The following is a 17,272-nucleotide window of genomic DNA, read 5'->3' on the forward strand; positions in this document are numbered from 1 at the left end:
TGGCCAGGGGCTGGATACCACTATCACATCTGCCAACTTTAGTCACAGACATTCAACATTTCTGCTTCCTGTTGCCAGATAGTGTCCACTGATTACAGGGTATTTCAGGGTATTTGTGGGGAAGATAAGAGCTCTACTGAACTAACTGACAGGCCTGTTGCTCCTGGCTTAATAGACTCAGATACCAACCAATTCCCTTCTCTCATCTCAGCACTCTTCCCAGTGTTCACCACACTCTAGACCTGCTGGCCTTCACTTGGGTTTCTTGACTAAACCATTCTCCTTTCAGGCTGATCCTTCTGTCTGGAAGGCTCTTCCCCCATTTTTTTTGCCCAGTTAACTGCAACTCATCCATCAGGATCCAGACTCATTGACATTTTCTCATTTGAAGCCTTCCCTGATCCCAACAGACCAGCAAGTTCACCAGTGTATCCTCTCATATCAACCCCTACTTTTCCTGTGTAGCACTTAGCAGGATAACTCTTAGAAAGCAATGACTAAGTGTCAGCCATGACTGAGCTAGCCCTAAATAAAAGAACACAGTCCATGCAGCCAGAACAAATTTAAAAATATTCCGCATACTTTATTTGTACATTTTGAACACTATAGAAACATTTAGTTTCCCATGAGACTTCTTAGAATTCCCCCTTCATCCCTTTCCCATCCAATGTTTTCACATACTGTAGCAGCGCTTTTTTTTTTTTTCAACGACTGTCCCTTCCCTGCAAAAAACTCTGCAATGTGGTCCTCTTTCCTTCTTCCTTTCTTCTTAATTCTCCACTGAAACAAAACAAAACAAAACAAAACAAAACAAAACAAAAAGCTGGTCTGGCAAGGCAGGACCCTCCTTGGAAAGCAGGGGAGGGGAAGAATCTGAATAGGCCAAGACAGAATCTTCTCTGGTGGACAGGAGAAGGAAACATTTTCTTGGGGACATTATCGTGTTACTGCTGCTTGGTTATCTAATGTTACATAACCATCCTTTCCAAAACTTAGTGCCATAAAACAACTACTGTTTTTTTGTTTTTGTTTTTGAGATGGAATCTCGCTCTGTCTCCCAGGCTGGAGTGCAGTGACGTAATCTCGGGTCGCTGCAATCACCGCCTCCCAGGTTCAAGGAATTCTCTGCCTCAGCCTCCCAAGTAGCTGGGATTACAGGTGCCTGCCACCACTCCCAGCTAATTTTTGTATTTTTAGTAAAGACAGGGTTTCACCATCTTGGCCAGGCTGGTCTTGAACTCCTGACCTTGTGATCCACCTGCCTCGGCCTCCCAAAGTGTTGGGATTACAGGCGTGAGCCACGGCGCCCGGCCCTACTATTTTATTGTACTCATGATCCAGAGGGTTGGAGTTTGGGCAGGGCAGAGCAGGAATGGCTTGTCTTTGCTTCCCAGTGTTGGAGGTCTCAGCTGGGTTGGCTCAAATGGCTGGAGATGGCAAGAACATATGACATTGTCATATGTCTGGGGCTTCGGTTTTGCTCCATGTAGCGTCTACTGGGTCTAGAATGTCCCAGGTAGCTCCTTTCCTCCTTTCCTAACATATCTTATTTGTGGGCTTGTGTGGCTGAAACAGCTGGGGGTTGGCCAGCATTATTCTCTCTCTCCATGCAGCCTTTCCATGTGGCTTTAGCTTCTTACAGTATGGAAGGAAGTTTCCAAGAGGGAGCAACCCAAGAGTGAAAATTCCAAGAAATCCAGGTGAAAAGTTATACGGTTTTTTACAACCTAGCTTTAGAAGTCCCTGTTCTGCCACATTCTATTGCTCAAACAAGTCAGGAAGTTTACCCATATTCCAGAGGAGGGGAATTAGACTTCCTTGACGTGTGTCTATAGGAAGGAATAGAATGAACAGCACAGGCTACCACAATTCATGTCCCTTTCATGGTATTGGCTTGAAGTCCAGGATCTCATATAAATTAGGGTCAGGTGTGAATGAGGCTCCTTGTTTGCAATCTTCTCTTGATCAGAAGAGCCACAAACTAGAGACAAGTTATTTGTGTCTCTTGCCTGTGTTAGGGGTCCCCCACCCAAGGTTGAATGATTCGCTACAAAGACTCACAGGACTCAGCAAATAGTCATATTCATGGCTAAGATTTACTGCAACAAGAAGACACAGAGCAAAGTGGCCAGGCATGGTGGCTCTCACCTGTAATCGCAGCACTTTGGGAGGTCGACGTGGGTGGATCACTTGAGCTCAGGAGTTCAAGACCAGCCCAGGCAACATGGCAAAACCCTGTCTCTACAAAAAATGTAAACATTAACTGGGCGTGGTGGTATGCACCTGTAGTCCCAGCTAATCGGGAGGCTGAAGTGGGAGAATCACTTGAACCCGGGAGGCAGAGCTTGCAGTGAGCTGAGATCGCATCACTGCACTCCAGCCTGGGTGACAGAGCACTCCAGCCTGGGCAACAGAGCGAGATTCATCTCAAAAAACAAAACAAAACAAAACAAAACAAAACAAAAGAAAACAAAAGGCTAACCTTGGAAGCAGACCTTTCTGTCTTTTTTCTTTTTTAGAGACTGGTTCTTGCTCTATTGCTCAGGCTGGAGTGCAGTGGTGCAATCATGGCTCACTGTAGCCTCAAACTTCTGGGCTCAAGTGATACCCCTGCCTCAGCCTCTTAAGTAGCTGGGGCTACAGGCATGCACCACCATGCCTGGCTAGTTTTTTACTTTTACTTTTTTTGAGGTAGGATCTCATTTCACCCAGGCTGGAGTGCAGCGGTGCAATCACAGCTCACTGGAGCCTTGACCTCCTGGGCTCATGAGATCCTCCCATCTCAGCCTCCTGAGTAGCTGGGACCATAGTTATGCACCACCATGCTCAGCTAATTTTTTTTTATTTGTAGAGATGAGGTCTCATTATGTTGCCCAGGTGGTCTCAAACTCTTGGGCTCAAGTGATCTTCTGTCCTGGCCTTCAAAGTGCTGCGGTTACAGTCATGAAACACCATGCCTGGCCTAAGCAGGCCCTTCTAAGGATAAGTAGTCAGGCTTGCTATGGTTAACTCTATTTTGCACACTGAACAACATGTAATGGTGATATAAAGACAGCAAAATTATAGCAAATACTCCCATTGAAAAAGGTGAAGGAAGGGCCGGGTTCAGTGGCTCACACCTGTAATCCTAGCACTTTGGGAGGCTGAGGCAGGCGGATTGCCTGAGGTCAGGAGTTCAAGACCAGCCTGGGCAACACGGTGAAATCCCGTATCTACTAAAATACAAAAAATTAGCCAGGCGTGATGGCGTGTGCCTGTAATCCCAGCTATTCGGGAGGCTGAGACAGGAGAATCTCTTGAACCTGGGAGGTGGAGGTTGCAGTGAGCCGAGATCGTGCCATTGCACTCCAGCATAGGTGACAGAGTGAGACTCCCTATCAAAAAAAAAAAAAAAAGAAAAAGAAAAAAGAAAAAGGTGGAAGGGCCAGGCATGATAGCTCACGCCTATAATCCTTGCACTTTGGGAGGCTGAGGTGGGTGGATTGCCTGATCTCAGGAGTTCAAGACCAGCCTGGCAACACGGTGAAACCCTGTCTCTACTAAAAATACAAAAAATTAGCTGGGCATGGTGGCGTGGGCCTGTAGTCCCAGCTATTTGGGTGGCTGAGGGAGGAGAATCGCTTGAACCTAGGGGGCGGAGGTTGCAGTGAGCCAAGATCATGCCACTGCACTCCAGCCTAGGGGCACAAAGTGAGACTCTGTCTCAAAAAAAAAAAAAAAAAAAGAAAAAGAAAAAGAAAAAGGAAAAGGTGGAGGGAGGAAGAATGAGAGGCACATAAGCAGTTACTGGCTCATAGCAATTCTGAAATCCATCCAGGCACATATTTCTAGTTCCTTGACTAAGGCCTAGTCCTGCTCCAAGGGAGTTTTTCTCTGTGATTCTTGGCTCTTCCCTTTGGACTCTTGGTTCTGCATTTAGCTTTGCTTCCTTTTCCATAAAAAATAACCTGTGTTTGCAAATAAGTTGCCTTTTCAGCCTGCTTCCTCTCTATATAAAGTTGGGTGCCATAAGGTCTCTTTTCATTTTGAACTATCTGTTCTTTTCAGTTCAAGTTCATGGTGCTTCTACCAATATAATTCTCTGAAAAACATTGTGAGTTTTCTATTAATAGCATTGAGGTTCACTCTATTAGACAAAAGCCACACTCTAAAGTCTTTTAAGAGACAGGGTCTTGCTCTGTCACCCAGGCTGGAGTGCAGTGGCATGATGTAGCTAACTGCAGCCTTGACCTCCTAGGCTCAAGCAATCTTCTCACCTCAGCCTCCAGAATAGCTGGGACTACAGGTGCATGCCACCATGCCCAGCTAGTAAGAAAAAATTTCTTTTGTAGAACTGGGGTTCTCGCTATGTTGGCCAGGCTGGTCTTAAACTCCTGGACTCAAGTGATCCATCCACCTCAGCCTTCGAAAGTGTTGGGATTATAGGCCTGAGCCACCACGTCTGGCCCCCTAAAGTCTTTAAAGGCTGTTTTCTCTCTTCCTTGGACTTACAATCAAGGTACTCTGAGATAATGCTCTTAAAATTCCTGAAGCCTTTTTATCTAATTGGGAATGTCTATGAAGCATGCCCTTCAATCTTACAGCTGTTTCCTGAGCTGAAAAAAGCCCTTGAGATTATTATTGTTTACTTTTATTTTTATAGCAACCAGGTCTCACTGTGTTGCCCAGGCTGGTCTTGAACTCCTGACCTCAAGTGGTTCTCCTGGCTTGGCTTCCCAAAGTGCTAGGATTACAGATGTGAGCCACCATGCCCAGCCCCTCAAGGTTATTTTTACCCAGAGGCCACACTTTACTTGAAGTGTATTGAATTTAATCTTTGCTATTAGGTCATCTCTTACTGTGAAAGTCTTTTTCTTGGGAGATAATAGAGGTTAGAAACAGGTTTATTTTTGACCTAGCAAGTCTTGACTTTTTAATATTCTAAGTGCTGCTTTAAAATTAAACAATTCCTTAGTTCAACTTTCTTGTATTTTGTCTTAAACAAATAGAAGACTCCACTTGGCAATTTCAACACTCTGACTGCAAACTTCCCTAGCCAAATCCATGAGATACAAGATCATTAACTGCGCTTTCTAATTTTCATGAGATACCCTTTCTTTCCTTTTTTTTTTGTTGAGATGTGTCTCACTATGTGGCGCAGGCTGGCCTTGAACTCCTGTGCTCATATGATCCTCCTGCCTCAGCCTCCTGAGTAGCTGGGTCTATAGGTGCACACCACATACTCACTACTCTTTCTGTTTTTTACATTACCTCAGTCAACGGTGCTGCCAAACTTTCTGCCACTATATGACAGGAGTCACGTTTTATCCAACTGTATTAGTTTGCTAAGGGTGCCATAACAAGGTACCACAAACAGGGTGATTTAAACAACAGAACCGGTGACTTAGACTACAGAAATTTATCATGTCACAGTTCCGTTTTTTTGTGTGTGTTTGTTTGTTTGACACAGAGTCTCACTCTGTTACCCAGGCTGGGGTGCAGTGGCTCAATCTCAGCTCACTGCAACCTCTGCCTGCCAGGTTCAAGCGATTCTCGTGGCTTAGCCTCCCAAGTAGCTGGGATTACAGGCACGTGACACCATACCCAGCTAATTTTTTGTATTTTAGTAGAGACAGGGTTTTGCCATGTTGGCCAGGCTGGTCTTGAACTCCTGGCCTCAAGTGACCCACCTGCCTTGGCCTCCCAAAGTGCTGGGATTACAGGCATGAACCACTGCCCCTGGCAATCTCACAGTTCTGGACTAGATGTCCAAGATCAAGGTGTTGGTTGGGTTGATCCTGCCTAAGAGCTGTGAGCAATAATCTGTCCCATGTTTCTCTCCTAGATTCTCGTGGTTTGCTTGCTGGCAGCAATGTCTGGCATTCTTTGGCTTGTAGATCCATCACTCTGATCTCTGTCTTCAGGCTGGCATGGTGTTCTTTCTGTGTGCATGTTTGTGTCCAAAATTTGGACGCCAGTCATAATGGATTAGGACCCAACCTAATGACATCATTTTAAGTGAACTACCTCTATAAAGACCCTATCTTCAAATATGATTACATTCTGGCTGGGTGCAGTGGCTCATGCCTGTAATCCCAGTGCTTGGGAAGGCTGAAGTGGGAGGATCCTTTGAGGCCAGGAGTTTGAGACCAGTGTGGACAACATAGCCAAGACCCTGTCTCTACAAAAAAAGTAAAAAAATTAGCTGGGCATGGTGGTATGTGCCTATAATCCTATGTACTTGGGAGGCGGAGGCAGGAGGATCACTTGAGCACAGGAGTTCAAGGTTACAGCGAGCTATGATTGTACCACTCTACCCCCGCCTGGGTGACTGAGATCCTGTCGCTAAAAAAACCCAAAAACAAGAGCAAATAAGATCACATTCTGAGGTACTGGGAGTTAGAATTTCAATATGAATTTTGGTGGGGACACAAGTCAACTCAAAGCACCGACCTTCAATAGCAATTCCCTCACTGTCCTTCAAGACTTCTCTTGAGGTCCTTTTGGCTTCCGCCCACCCCTGTCCAAAGCCGATGACACATGTTTTTCTTTCTTTTTTTTTTTTGAGACAGAGTCTCGCTCTGTCACCCAGGCTGGAGTGCAGTGGTGCGATCTCCGCTCACGGCAAGCTCCGCCTCTCAGGTTCACGCCATTCTCCTGCCTCAGCCTCCCGAGTAGCTGGGACTACAGGCGCCCGCCACCACACCCGGCTAATTTTTTGTATATTTAGTAGAGACAGTGTTTCACCATGTTAGCCAGGATGGTCTTGATCTCCTGACCTCGTGATCCACCTGCCTCAGCCTCCCAAAGTGCTGGGATTACAGGCGTGAGCCACCGCGCCCGGCCAACACATGCTTTTCATTGTTGCAGTGTCTAACTTCACCAGTTTTATTATCAGTTATGGGCTGATCAGGGAAGTGGCCACCACTATGGAATACAGGCTTTATTCTGAGAATTGGATACAATACAGTTGCAGGAGAAGCTAGGGAAGAAAAGGTCTGAAAGGAGATGGCTGGACAATCAGAAAAGTCACTAACCAGAGATCACAAAGGAAAGCTGACGAATGAGTACATGGAAGGCTGTTCCCTCTGCATCCAGCAATGGGCCTGAAGTTTATGATAGGTCATCAGGGCTAGCAATCAGGAAGAAAAGTTGGATTGCATTGAGGGAGAGTGAGGACAAACTAGAATCCACAGGACAAACTGGAACCCACGAAGACAAAATGGAACTCACAGCTATCTTTCACATTGACGAGCATGCGATATGTAGCATAAGCTAATGCCTTTACCATGGAACTACACGTGCCTTGCGCCAAGGCTTGGAGACACTGAAATAGAAAATTTGGTGGGAGTTGAAGGAGCTGTGGGCCAGTTAATGCTCTGTACCAACAAAGTATGTTAGCAGATCAGTAACCACTCTATGATCTGCAGCGGCATGTGATATTTACATCAACCTTCAGAACACAAGGGCTGCTGCTTCCAAATCTTACATAAATCTTACCTGCTCCTTCCAAACTTACACGAAATTCTTCTGTAGTGAATCCTATCCTGGATCCACATTGGGAACGGACATTTGAGGAACTAGATTTCAACTTACCTAATTGACACAGTACAAACATCAGTGACTGTCAGATACCATGATGCTGATGCTGTGTCTTATACATACTACCCTCTCATTTAAACTTCATACCAGTCTTGCAAAATAGATCTCATCTGGAAAGACCTCATCAAAAAAATAAAAATTAAAAAAAGAGGCCGGGTGCGGTGGCTGACGCCTGTAATCCCAGCACTTTGAGAGGCCGAGGCAGGGTGGATCACGAGGTCAGGAGTTCAAGACCAGCCTGGCCAAGATGCTGAAACCCCATCTCTACTAAATATACAAAAATTAGCTGGGCATGGTGGCACGCGCTTGTAATCCCAGCTATTTCAGAGGCTGAGGCAGGAGAATTGCTTAAACCCAGGTGCCAGAGATTGCAGTGAGCCAAGATCAAGCCACTGCGCTCCAGCCTGGGTGACAGCAAGACTTCGTCTCAAAAAAAAAAAAAAAAAGTTTCCTTTCGGCCGGAACCGCCATCTTCCAGTAATTCGCCAAAATGACGAACACAAAGGGAAAGAGGAGAGGCACCCGATATATGTTCTCTAGGCCTTTTAGAAAACATGGAGTTGTTCCTTTGGCCACATATATGCGAATCTATAAGAAAGCTGATATTGTAGACATCAAGGGAATGGGTACTGCTCAAAAAGGAATGCCCCACAAGTGTTACCATGGCAAAACTGGAAGAGTCTACAATGTTACCCAGCATGCTGTTGGCATTGTTGTAAACAAACAAGTTAAGGGCAAGATTCTTGCCAAGAGAATTAAGGTGCGTATTGAGCACATTAAGCACTCTAAGAGCCGAGATAGCTTCCTGAAACACGTGAAGGAAAATGATCAGAAAAAGAAAGACGCCAAAGAGAAAGGTACCTGGGTTCAACTAAAGCGCCAGCCTGCTCCACCCAGAGAAGCACACTTTGTGAGAACCAACGGGAAGCAGCCTGAGCTGCTGGAACCTATTTCCTATGAATTCATGGCATAATAGGTGTTAAAAAAAAAAATAAAGGACCTCTGGGCTGTAAAAAAAAAAAAAAAAATTAAAAAAAGAAAAAAGAAGTGTTGCAAAATAAATATTAGCATTCTCATTTTACATATGAGGAAATGAAGCCTTATATTTACTCATAGATGAGTCAATGGGGAAGCCCGGATTCTTCCCGACATCTGTGTGGTAGCCATCTTCCAAGATGACCCCCATGATTCTTGCCCATTGGTACTCATATCCTTTTGTAGTTTCCCTCCCAAATCAAATAGATTTGACCTGAGCAATCAGTAGAGCATTGCAGAAATGATGGTGAATGACTTTTGATGGTGGATCGTAAGAGACATTGCAACTTCCATCTTTCTCTTTCTTGAATCAATTGAAAGCCAGCTGACGTGTTGTAAGGATACTCAAGCAGCCTGAGGACAGGCCCATATACAGAGGAACTGAGGCCTTCTGTAAACGACCCATCCATGTGAGTGAACCACCTTGGAAATAGATTTTCCAGCATCAGCCTAGCCTTCAAATGACTACAGCCCTATATTTTACTGCAACCTCCTGAGACACTTCAAGCCAGAACTATAGAGCTAAGTGGCTTCTAAATTCCTGACTTACAGAAAATATGAAATAATGTTTACTATAGTTTTAAGCTGCTAAATTTTGGGTTAATTGGTTACACAGCATTAGATTAATATAATCTGTTAGATTCTGAAGCACAACTCTTTACTTTTCTTTCTTTCTTATTTTCAATTTTTTTGTGGAGACGGGGTTTTGCTACATTGCCCAGGCTGGTCTTGAACTCCTGGCCTCAAGCAATCCTCCCACCCCAGTCTCTCAAAGTGTTGGGATTACAGGCAGGAGCCACTGCACCCAGGAAAAGCACAGCGCTTTCTATGACATCATGCTACTTTAAAATTTGTTTGGATAGGAAGGGCATGGTGGCTCACGCCTGTAATCCCAGCACTTTGGGAGGCCAAGGAGGGCAGCTCACTTGAGGCTGGGAGTTTGAGACCAACCTGGCCAACATGGCGAAACCCCATCTCTACTAAAAATAAAAAAATTAGCCGGGCGTGGTGGCTGGCGCCTGTAATCCCAGCTACTTGGGAGGTTGAGGCAGGAGAATCGCTTGAACCCGGGAGGCGGAGGTTGCAGTGAGCTGAGATCATACCGTTGCACTCCAGCCTGGGCAACAGAGTGAGACTCTGTCTCAAAAAAAAAAGAAAAGAAAAAAAAAGAAAAAAAATGCGTTTGGATTGTATGAATGAGGATGATGGGAGAAGTAGGAATTTGGAAGTCCACAATGTCCTGGTCTTGTCATAAAAAAAAGGCTTTGAAATATGTTTGGTACTTCCAGATACTGAGAGAGAAGAAGGGTCATATAGTGGTTAAACTGAACCTTGAGAATTAGGAGGTTTTCTTCGTTTCTTTTTTCTTCTTCTTCTTTTTTTTTTTTTTTTGCTACTCAGGGTAAGCTGACTTCGCATGAATAAATCAGAGGTTAAACCATGTGGTTTTGCTGACTGGCAGACTTGGGCTGGAAATGGGGAAGATAAATGATAGAAATTGGATTCTGGTAGGGCAAGAAAAGTCCTGACAAATGGTGATGAAATGGGGTAGAACCTTCAGGACAGTCACAGTGAGGGGCTGGCCACCCTTTTGCTCCTGCCCCTTCTTTCGTCAGTGGGGCCATCCTCTCCTCTTCCCCACCAGTTCCTTTTTGATCTCAAACTCACTGAAGAGGCTCCTTCTTGTTCTTCTCTTTCCAAATATCCCTTTCTTATGAAGATCTTTTCCTTTCTTAATAAGGCAAACATGTGCATTAAGGAACTTAAAAAAGCAAAACAAAACCAAACTTCATCTGAGAACCACCTCATTTTAAAAACTCTTGGTGTTTATTGTTCTCTCCAATTAGTCCAGGATTGGAGAGGAGAGGTACTGAGCCTGGCGATTTAATCAGACCTTAGTTAACCGGCAATAGTTATTATCCTAGGATGCTAGTACTGCAAGAACCCTTCCAGAACATCTGGTGCAACCCTGCTCTTTTTATACGGGATAATTTGAAGCCCAAAGAGATCAAGTGACCATTGTGACCACCGCGAACAGATATTAATTCAACAGCTGCAATCGAATACTTTTTTTTTTTTTTTTGAGACGGAGTTTCACTCTTGTTGCCCAGGCTGGAGTGCAATGGCGCGATCTTGGTTCACTGCAACCTCCGCCTACCGGGTTCAAGCGATTCTCCTGCCTCAGCCTCCCGAGTAGCTGAGATTACAGGCATGTGCCACCACGCCCGGCTAATTTTGTATTTTTAGTAGAGACGGGGTTTCTTCATGTTGGTCAGGCTGGTCTCGAACCCCCGACCTCAGGTGATCCGCCCGCCTTGGCCTCCCAAAGGGCTGGGATTACAGGCGTGAGCCACCACGCCTGGCCGAATACGTTCTTTTAAATGGTCCATCTCTTTGGATTAGTAAAATGGGTGGAGTGATTTGGAATTGGCCCAGATCTCCTATTCTGCAAGCAGAGAAACACTACAGAGAGGTATTACCCAGGTCAAACCCCTCCTAAGATGTGAATTGAACAACAGCTAGGCGTTAGGAAGAAAATGCTGCCTGACCCTGACTTCTAAACTCCCCTTAAACGTCGTCGCTGTGTCCCTAGAACCCAAGATAGAGTATGCATGAATAAACTTTTGCGAAATGAACCAACAAACTTCCCTCGAGGTCCTTCCTGCCTCCCCGCCGCCCTGCATCTCCCCGACTTGGGACTGCGCTATCATTTCAGTCCTGGTCTGGGGACTTTTCGGGGTCTTCTCTGGCCTTCTCAGACAGTGACTCCGTTCCCAGGACAGGACCAGGGATCCCTTTTTCACTGCGGGGCGCTGGGAGGAGGCGGGTAGGCTGCTCACCTAATCTCTCGGGTTTTTCCTCAAGACGCGGTCATTTGTGTGAGGTGTTGTACTCGAGCACCCAAAATGGCCCGAACTGGTCTGGGAAACATTAGGGAGATGTGTTTACCGTCCTGGCTGACACTGAAGGCCAAGCATTCTTGCCACCAGGCGTGGCTTGACTCGCAGAACCCACACTCTGGCGGCTGTGGGCGCGGCACTGGACCGGCGCCGGCAGCAGGGCGGGGCCTGGCGGGGGCGGGGCCTGGCGGGTCAGGTGACTGCGCGGCGGGCTGTGGCTGCGGAGGTTGAGGGGCGTCCGAGGCGCGGAGGGGCTGGCTGGGCAGGAGGGGTTGGCGGGGCAGCAGGGCCGCGGCCATGGGGAGCTTGAAGGAGGAGCTGCTCAAAGCCATCTGGCACGCCTTCACCGCACTCGACCAGGACCACAGCGGCAAGGTCTCCAAGTCCCAGCTCAAGGTGGGCGCCTCCTGACCCGGCCCCCCACCCGACCCTCCCCGGCGCGCTCTGTACTTCCCTTGGGTGGAAGCGGGACCTGGCGGGCCGTGACCGCAGGGCGGGGCGGGTCGGAATGCGCCCGGTAGGCCCGCTTGGGGCGGAGTGGGTCTGAGACCGGGATTTGGTGTTTACTGCCTCCCCCTTGCCTTCGGGCCATGCCCTCGGTTGGATGTGTTAGTTCCCGCGGGTCTCCCAGGGACTGGGAAGGGTGGCGGGCATAAGGCTGGGGTGAAGTCTGGAGGGCCAAGTGTGATTCCTTCTTGGCGTTGGAGAGCGGGGGGCAGAAAGTGGATTCTGAGGCGGCAATGGGAAGCTCCCTTACACAGCCTTCCCAGAATTTTCCTCTTACTCCAGGAGAGGAAGGGACTTGCCCAAGGTCGCTGGGCAGAACCTTCTGCAGCCCACAGCCCCACACCAGGACAGTCCTCAAAACGGCTAGCTGCCCCGGAGGCGACAGGGCAGTCCGGAGACGCAGAAATGCCCCGAAGCCCGGCCTCCAGGGTCCTTCTCCTTTGGGAGGCTTTTTGACTTGGGAAGACCTTCCGCCCAGCGTCTTTTAAGTTTGGAACTAGTGGACGGGGTGTACTGTGTCCCACAGGGACCTTAGTTCCGGGTGAGGAGCGCTGATCTTTCTGGCACCCTGCAAAAGCGACTGCTTTTTCAGAGTCGTTATTGTGACTGCCGGAGACCCTAGAGTATAGGGTATAAATAAAGGGATGCTTGTAAATTGAGTAACCCCAAGCAGCGAAATTGGCATTAAGCCAGCAGAAATTGGCAGCTTCTTCAAAGTAAAAAAATATAGAAACAGACAAGAAAAGCTATTCATAGGCATTTAAAAATATACATATTTTAGATCCGAATGTCCGGTTTTCTTAGCCCCTTCTGGGAATAAATTCTGAAGATTGGGTTTGTTTTGTATATTTTTGTACAGTAATCCCGTTCTTCTGAGTAGTGGCTTTTATGCCAGTAGGACTTAACATTCTCCTTGTCTTCCTTTTGCCTCTCCTTTCTTTTTCTCACTGATAGAATCATAGTCTGGAAGGGTCCATGGAGATCATCCACGTAATTTTTATTTTACTTCATTTTTAAATATTAACATACAGTAAAATTGACTTTTGGTGTACAGTTCTATAAATTTCAACATATGTATAGATTTATATAACTATCACCACAACCATGGCTTCCTCAGTTCCATCATCCTAAAAAACTCCCTGATGTTGCCCTGCCTCCACCCCAACTGTCGGCAACCATTGATCTTTCCTAATTGCTATAGTTTTACCTTTTCCGAAGTGCCATGTAAATGGAGTCATATAGTTTGTAACTGTTGAAACTGATTTCTTTTACCCAGCATAATGCCTTAGAGATTAATCCATTTTGTTGTGTGTACCAATAATTTTTTAAATTGCTAAGTAATATTCTATTGCATGGATGTATGGTAGTTTTTAGCCATGCATCTGTGAGAATTTGTGTTATTTCCAGTTCGGGGGAGTTATGAGTAGGTCTACATTTTACTTTTATTTTTACTTTTAACTTACCTATGCCATTTTATTTAAAGTAAGTTTTTAATAAATAGATGTAGCTGGGTCTTTTTTTTTATTCATTCTGACAATCTCTGTCTTTTAATTGGTATATTTAGGCCATTTACATTTAATGTAATTATTGATATGGTTTGATTTAGGGCTACCATTTTATTATAATTTGGTTTCTGCTTTTTTTTTTTCCTCTCTTTTTCTTCCATCTTTGGGATTATTTGAATATGCTTTAGTTTTTTGTTTTTTTTTTTTCTGAGACACAGTCTTGCCCTGTTGCCCAGGCTGGAGTGCGGTGGTGTGATCTCGGCTCACTGCAACGTCTGTCTCCTAGGTTCTAGAGATTCTCGTGCCTCAGCCTCCCAAGTAGCTGGGATTGCAGGTGTGCGTCACCACACCTAGCTAATTTTTGTATTTTTAGTAGAAACGGGGTTTCACCATGTTGGCCAGGCTGGTCTTGAACTCCTGAGCTCAGGTGATCTGCCCTCCTTGGTTTCATGAAGTGCTAGGATTACAAGTGTGACCCACTGTGCCTGGCCAATATTTCATTTTAATAGAGTTTTTTACTATATTTCTTCATGTAGGTTTTTTTAGTACTTGCTCTAGGAGTTAGAATATCCATCCCTAACTTTTCATAGTGTACTTAGAGTTAATATTTTACCACTTTAAGGAGAATGTAGAAAACTTATCACCATATAGGTCCCTTTACTCTCACTGCTTTATGTTGTAATTGTCATATTTATTAATCTACATACATTGAAATCCCCATCAGACAATATTAAATTTTTTGCTTTCAACCATCATTTCTCTTTTAAAGATCTTAAGAGGAGAAGAAAATTTTATTCTTTTTTTCCAGATATTCCCAGATGACCTCTTAATTTTTTTTTTTTTTTTTTGAGCCGGAGTTGCGCTCTGTCACCCAGGCTAGAGTGCAGTGGTGTGATCTCGGCTCACTGCAACCTCTGCCTCCCGGGTTCAAGCGATTCTCCTGCCTCAGCCTTCTGAGTAGCTGGGACTACAGACACGTGCCACCAAGCCTGGCTAATTTTTGTATTTTTAGTAGAGATGGGGTTTCACCATATTGGCCAGGGTGGTCTCAAACTCCTGACCTCGTGATCTGCCCGCCTTGGCCCTGCAAAGTGCTGGGACTACAGGTGCCCGCTGCCATGCCTGACTAATTTTTTTGTGTGTATGTTTTAGTAGAGACGGGGTTTCATTGTATTGCCCAGGCTGGTCTCGAACTCCTGAGCTCAGGCAATTTAACCAACTTGGCCTCCAGAAGTGCTAGGATTACAGGTGTGAGCAACTGCAATGATATGTTTAGTGATTTGTCCAAAGTCACAGTTGTAAGTAGTAGCTAATCTAGAACCAAGATTTTCACACTTCTGTGTGTGTGTGTGTGTGAGAGAGAGAGAGAGAGAGAGAGACAGGGTCTTGCTGTGTCACCCAGGCTGGAGTGCAGTTGCACTATCTTGGCTCACTGCAACCTCCACTTCCTGGCTCAAGCGATCCTCCAGCCTCCACCTCCCAAGTAGCTAGGCTCACAGGCATGAGCCACCATGCTCAGTTCATTTTTGTATTTTTTTGTAGACATAGGGTTTTGTCATGTTGTCCAGGCTGGTGTTGAACTCCTGAGCTCAAAGACATCCGCCCGCCTTGGCCTTCTAAAGTGCTGGTATTCAGATATGAGCCACCTTGTCCAGACAACTCTTTATAATTCTTTTTCTCTTTTTTTGGAGACAAGGTCTTTTTGTCGCCCAGGCTGGAATGCGGTGGCGCGATCATGGCTCAATGCAGCCTCAACCTCCTGGGCTCAAGCAGTCCTCCCACTTCAGACTCCCACGTAGATGGGACTACAGGCACAGGCCACTATGCCCAGCTAATGTTTGTACTTATGTAGAGATGGAGTTTTGCCATTTGCCCAGGCTGGTCTTGAATTCCTGAGCTCAGACTATATGCCTGCCTCAGCCTCTCAAAATGCTGGGATTACAGGCACGAGCCACTGCACCCATCCTATTTTCACACTTTATTACTATTACTGTTGTATTTTTTATTTTTTTGAGACGGAGTGTCGCTTTATCACCCAGGCTGGAGTGCAGTGGTGCGATCTTGGCTCACTGCAACCTCTGCTTCCTGGGTTCAAGCGATTCTCCTGCCTCAGCCTCCCAAATAGCTGGGATTACAGGTGCCCACTACCACACCTGGCTAATTTTTGTATTTTTAGTAGAGATGGGGTTTCACCATGTTGGCTGGGCTCATCTCAAACTCCTGACCTCAGGTGATCCACCCGCCTTGGCCTCCCAAAGCATTGGGATTATAGGCGTGAGCCACCATGCCTGGCCTATTTTCACACTTTAAAGCCAATGGTTTCTTCATTTTCTTCTCTTCCAATTGACGGCATAAATGAGATTTTTTGGATTACTTTGATGATACTTTATTCAAAATTGTCTTTATGGCTGCTTATAGGAAAAGCGTCTTGGCAGGAAATGTTAAATCCCAGTTCATAGATTTCACCCACAGTATGTTGATAATGCAACTGTGCAATTGTATTTTGTCTCTCTCTTGTCTGTATGAGACTTTGGGATTGGTTCAGTTCTGTTCATCTTGCCAGTGTTCGTAGAATTGAAAATATTTAAACATTTTTATTTAGGTCTCCTTTTGTGTTTGACCCTAGTTCTGTGTTCTGTTGGCTGGGAGTAGAGTTTTTGCCTTAATTTGTTGATTGATTCATTCACTCATACAGTAACCTTCTGTAAGTCTACTATGTGTAAGGTACCATGCTAATTTAGTCAGAAGATTAGTATTTTTAGGCTCTTAAGAGTTAATATCTCCTTGGAGGAAATGTCAAATAATTGATTTGTTAAACAGCAGACTAATAATTATGTATCCAAAATGATGGTTAAAATGTATTGCTTTGGAAAGCTATATGGGTATTCTAAAATATTTTTGATACTTGCCTTTTTGAGTTATCTTCACAACTTTTGACACAGAGAATGGATATATTCACTAGATAAGGGATATGGTGGTGAAAGGCAGAGAAAAAAGAAACAAATATGAATCTTTGCCTTCAAAGAGTTTAAACTTTGGTAGGCAAATTAAAAGGCTAAATGACCATTAAAGAAGGCACACTCTCTCTCTCCAGATAGAGATTATATTACTCAGACAATTACTGATCCTTAAAAAACATAAAGTCTGGTGGTGAAGGTAACAAACAGAAATATTGGGTTAAAGATACTGAGTGTGACAGAAGATATGGAGCCATGAGATTTTAAAGGAAGAAGCGATTTCTTCTCACTGGTGTGATTGCTTTATGAAAAAAGCTTCTTTGAAATGAACTCCGAAGGAAGTTAGGATGTGATTATGTAGGAATGGGGGAAGATTAAGCCCATTCTATTAATTAATTAATTACTTAGTTTTTTGAGACGGAGTCTTGCTCTGTTGCCCAGGGTTGAGTACAGTGGCAACCTCCACCTCCCTGGTTCAAGAGATTCTTCTGCTTCAGCTTCCCAAGTAGCTGGGACTACAGATGTGCACCACCATGTCTCGCTAATTTTTGTATTTTTAGTGGAGACAGGGTTTCACCATGTTGGCCAGGCTGGTCTCAAACTCCTGACCTCAAGTGATCCACCTGCCTCGGTCACCCAAAGTGCTGGGATTATGGGCATGAGCGACCACGCCCAGCCTAATTTATTTATTTAATGGATAGTTATTGATTGCTGTTATCCCTAGGGAACACTGATCTACTGCAAGAGATGGGAATGAATCAGGTATTTATGGGGACTTCTGTGTAAC

General features: G+C 45.2%; 1 protein-coding gene, 1 long non-coding RNA gene and 1 pseudogene across 3 annotated transcripts in view, besides 3 other annotated features; 2 read left to right on the forward strand and 1 right to left on the reverse strand.

The window, feature by feature from the left end:
* Positions 1-558: 558 nt before the first annotated feature.
* Positions 559-7,748, reverse strand: LOC124902628 (uncharacterized). Its single transcript, XR_007062586.1, has 2 exons — positions 7,017-7,748; positions 559-780 (listed from the first exon to the last, which is right to left on the reverse strand). It is a non-coding gene; the product is annotated as an uncharacterized LOC124902628 (long non-coding RNA).
* RPL21P97 (ribosomal protein L21 pseudogene 97) lies at positions 8,029-8,590 on the forward strand (annotated as a pseudogene).
* Positions 10,889-11,088: an enhancer, noted in NCBI's record as "active region_4419". NCBI's record gives its function as "activates an Ori minimal core promoter by ATAC-STARR-seq in GM12878 lymphoblastoid cells {active_cell/tissue: GM12878}" and the evidence as "EXISTENCE:reporter gene assay evidence [ECO:0000049][PMID:35858748]".
* Positions 11,559-12,058: a silencer, noted in NCBI's record as "silent region_3135". NCBI's record gives its function as "represses an Ori minimal core promoter by ATAC-STARR-seq in GM12878 lymphoblastoid cells {active_cell/tissue: GM12878}" and the evidence as "EXISTENCE:reporter gene assay evidence [ECO:0000049][PMID:35858748]".
* SWAP70 (switching B cell complex subunit SWAP70) overlaps positions 11,711-17,272 on the forward strand; it is an 88,917-nt gene continuing 83,355 nt past the window's right edge. For both annotated transcript variants that reach the window (NM_015055.4, NM_001297714.2), the window contains exon 1: positions 11,711-11,912. In NM_015055.4, the coding sequence (NP_055870.2) occupies positions 11,814-11,912 (99 nt within the window). In that variant the 5' untranslated portion in view covers positions 11,711-11,813. The remainder of the gene's footprint in view (positions 11,913-17,272) is intronic.
* Positions 12,199-12,318: an enhancer, noted in NCBI's record as "active region_4420". NCBI's record gives its function as "activates an Ori minimal core promoter by ATAC-STARR-seq in GM12878 lymphoblastoid cells {active_cell/tissue: GM12878}" and the evidence as "EXISTENCE:reporter gene assay evidence [ECO:0000049][PMID:35858748]".

This window comes from Homo sapiens, chromosome 11, assembly GCF_000001405.40.
Source record: "Homo sapiens chromosome 11, GRCh38.p14 Primary Assembly".
Lineage (NCBI taxonomy): Eukaryota > Metazoa > Chordata > Mammalia > Primates > Hominidae > Homo > Homo sapiens.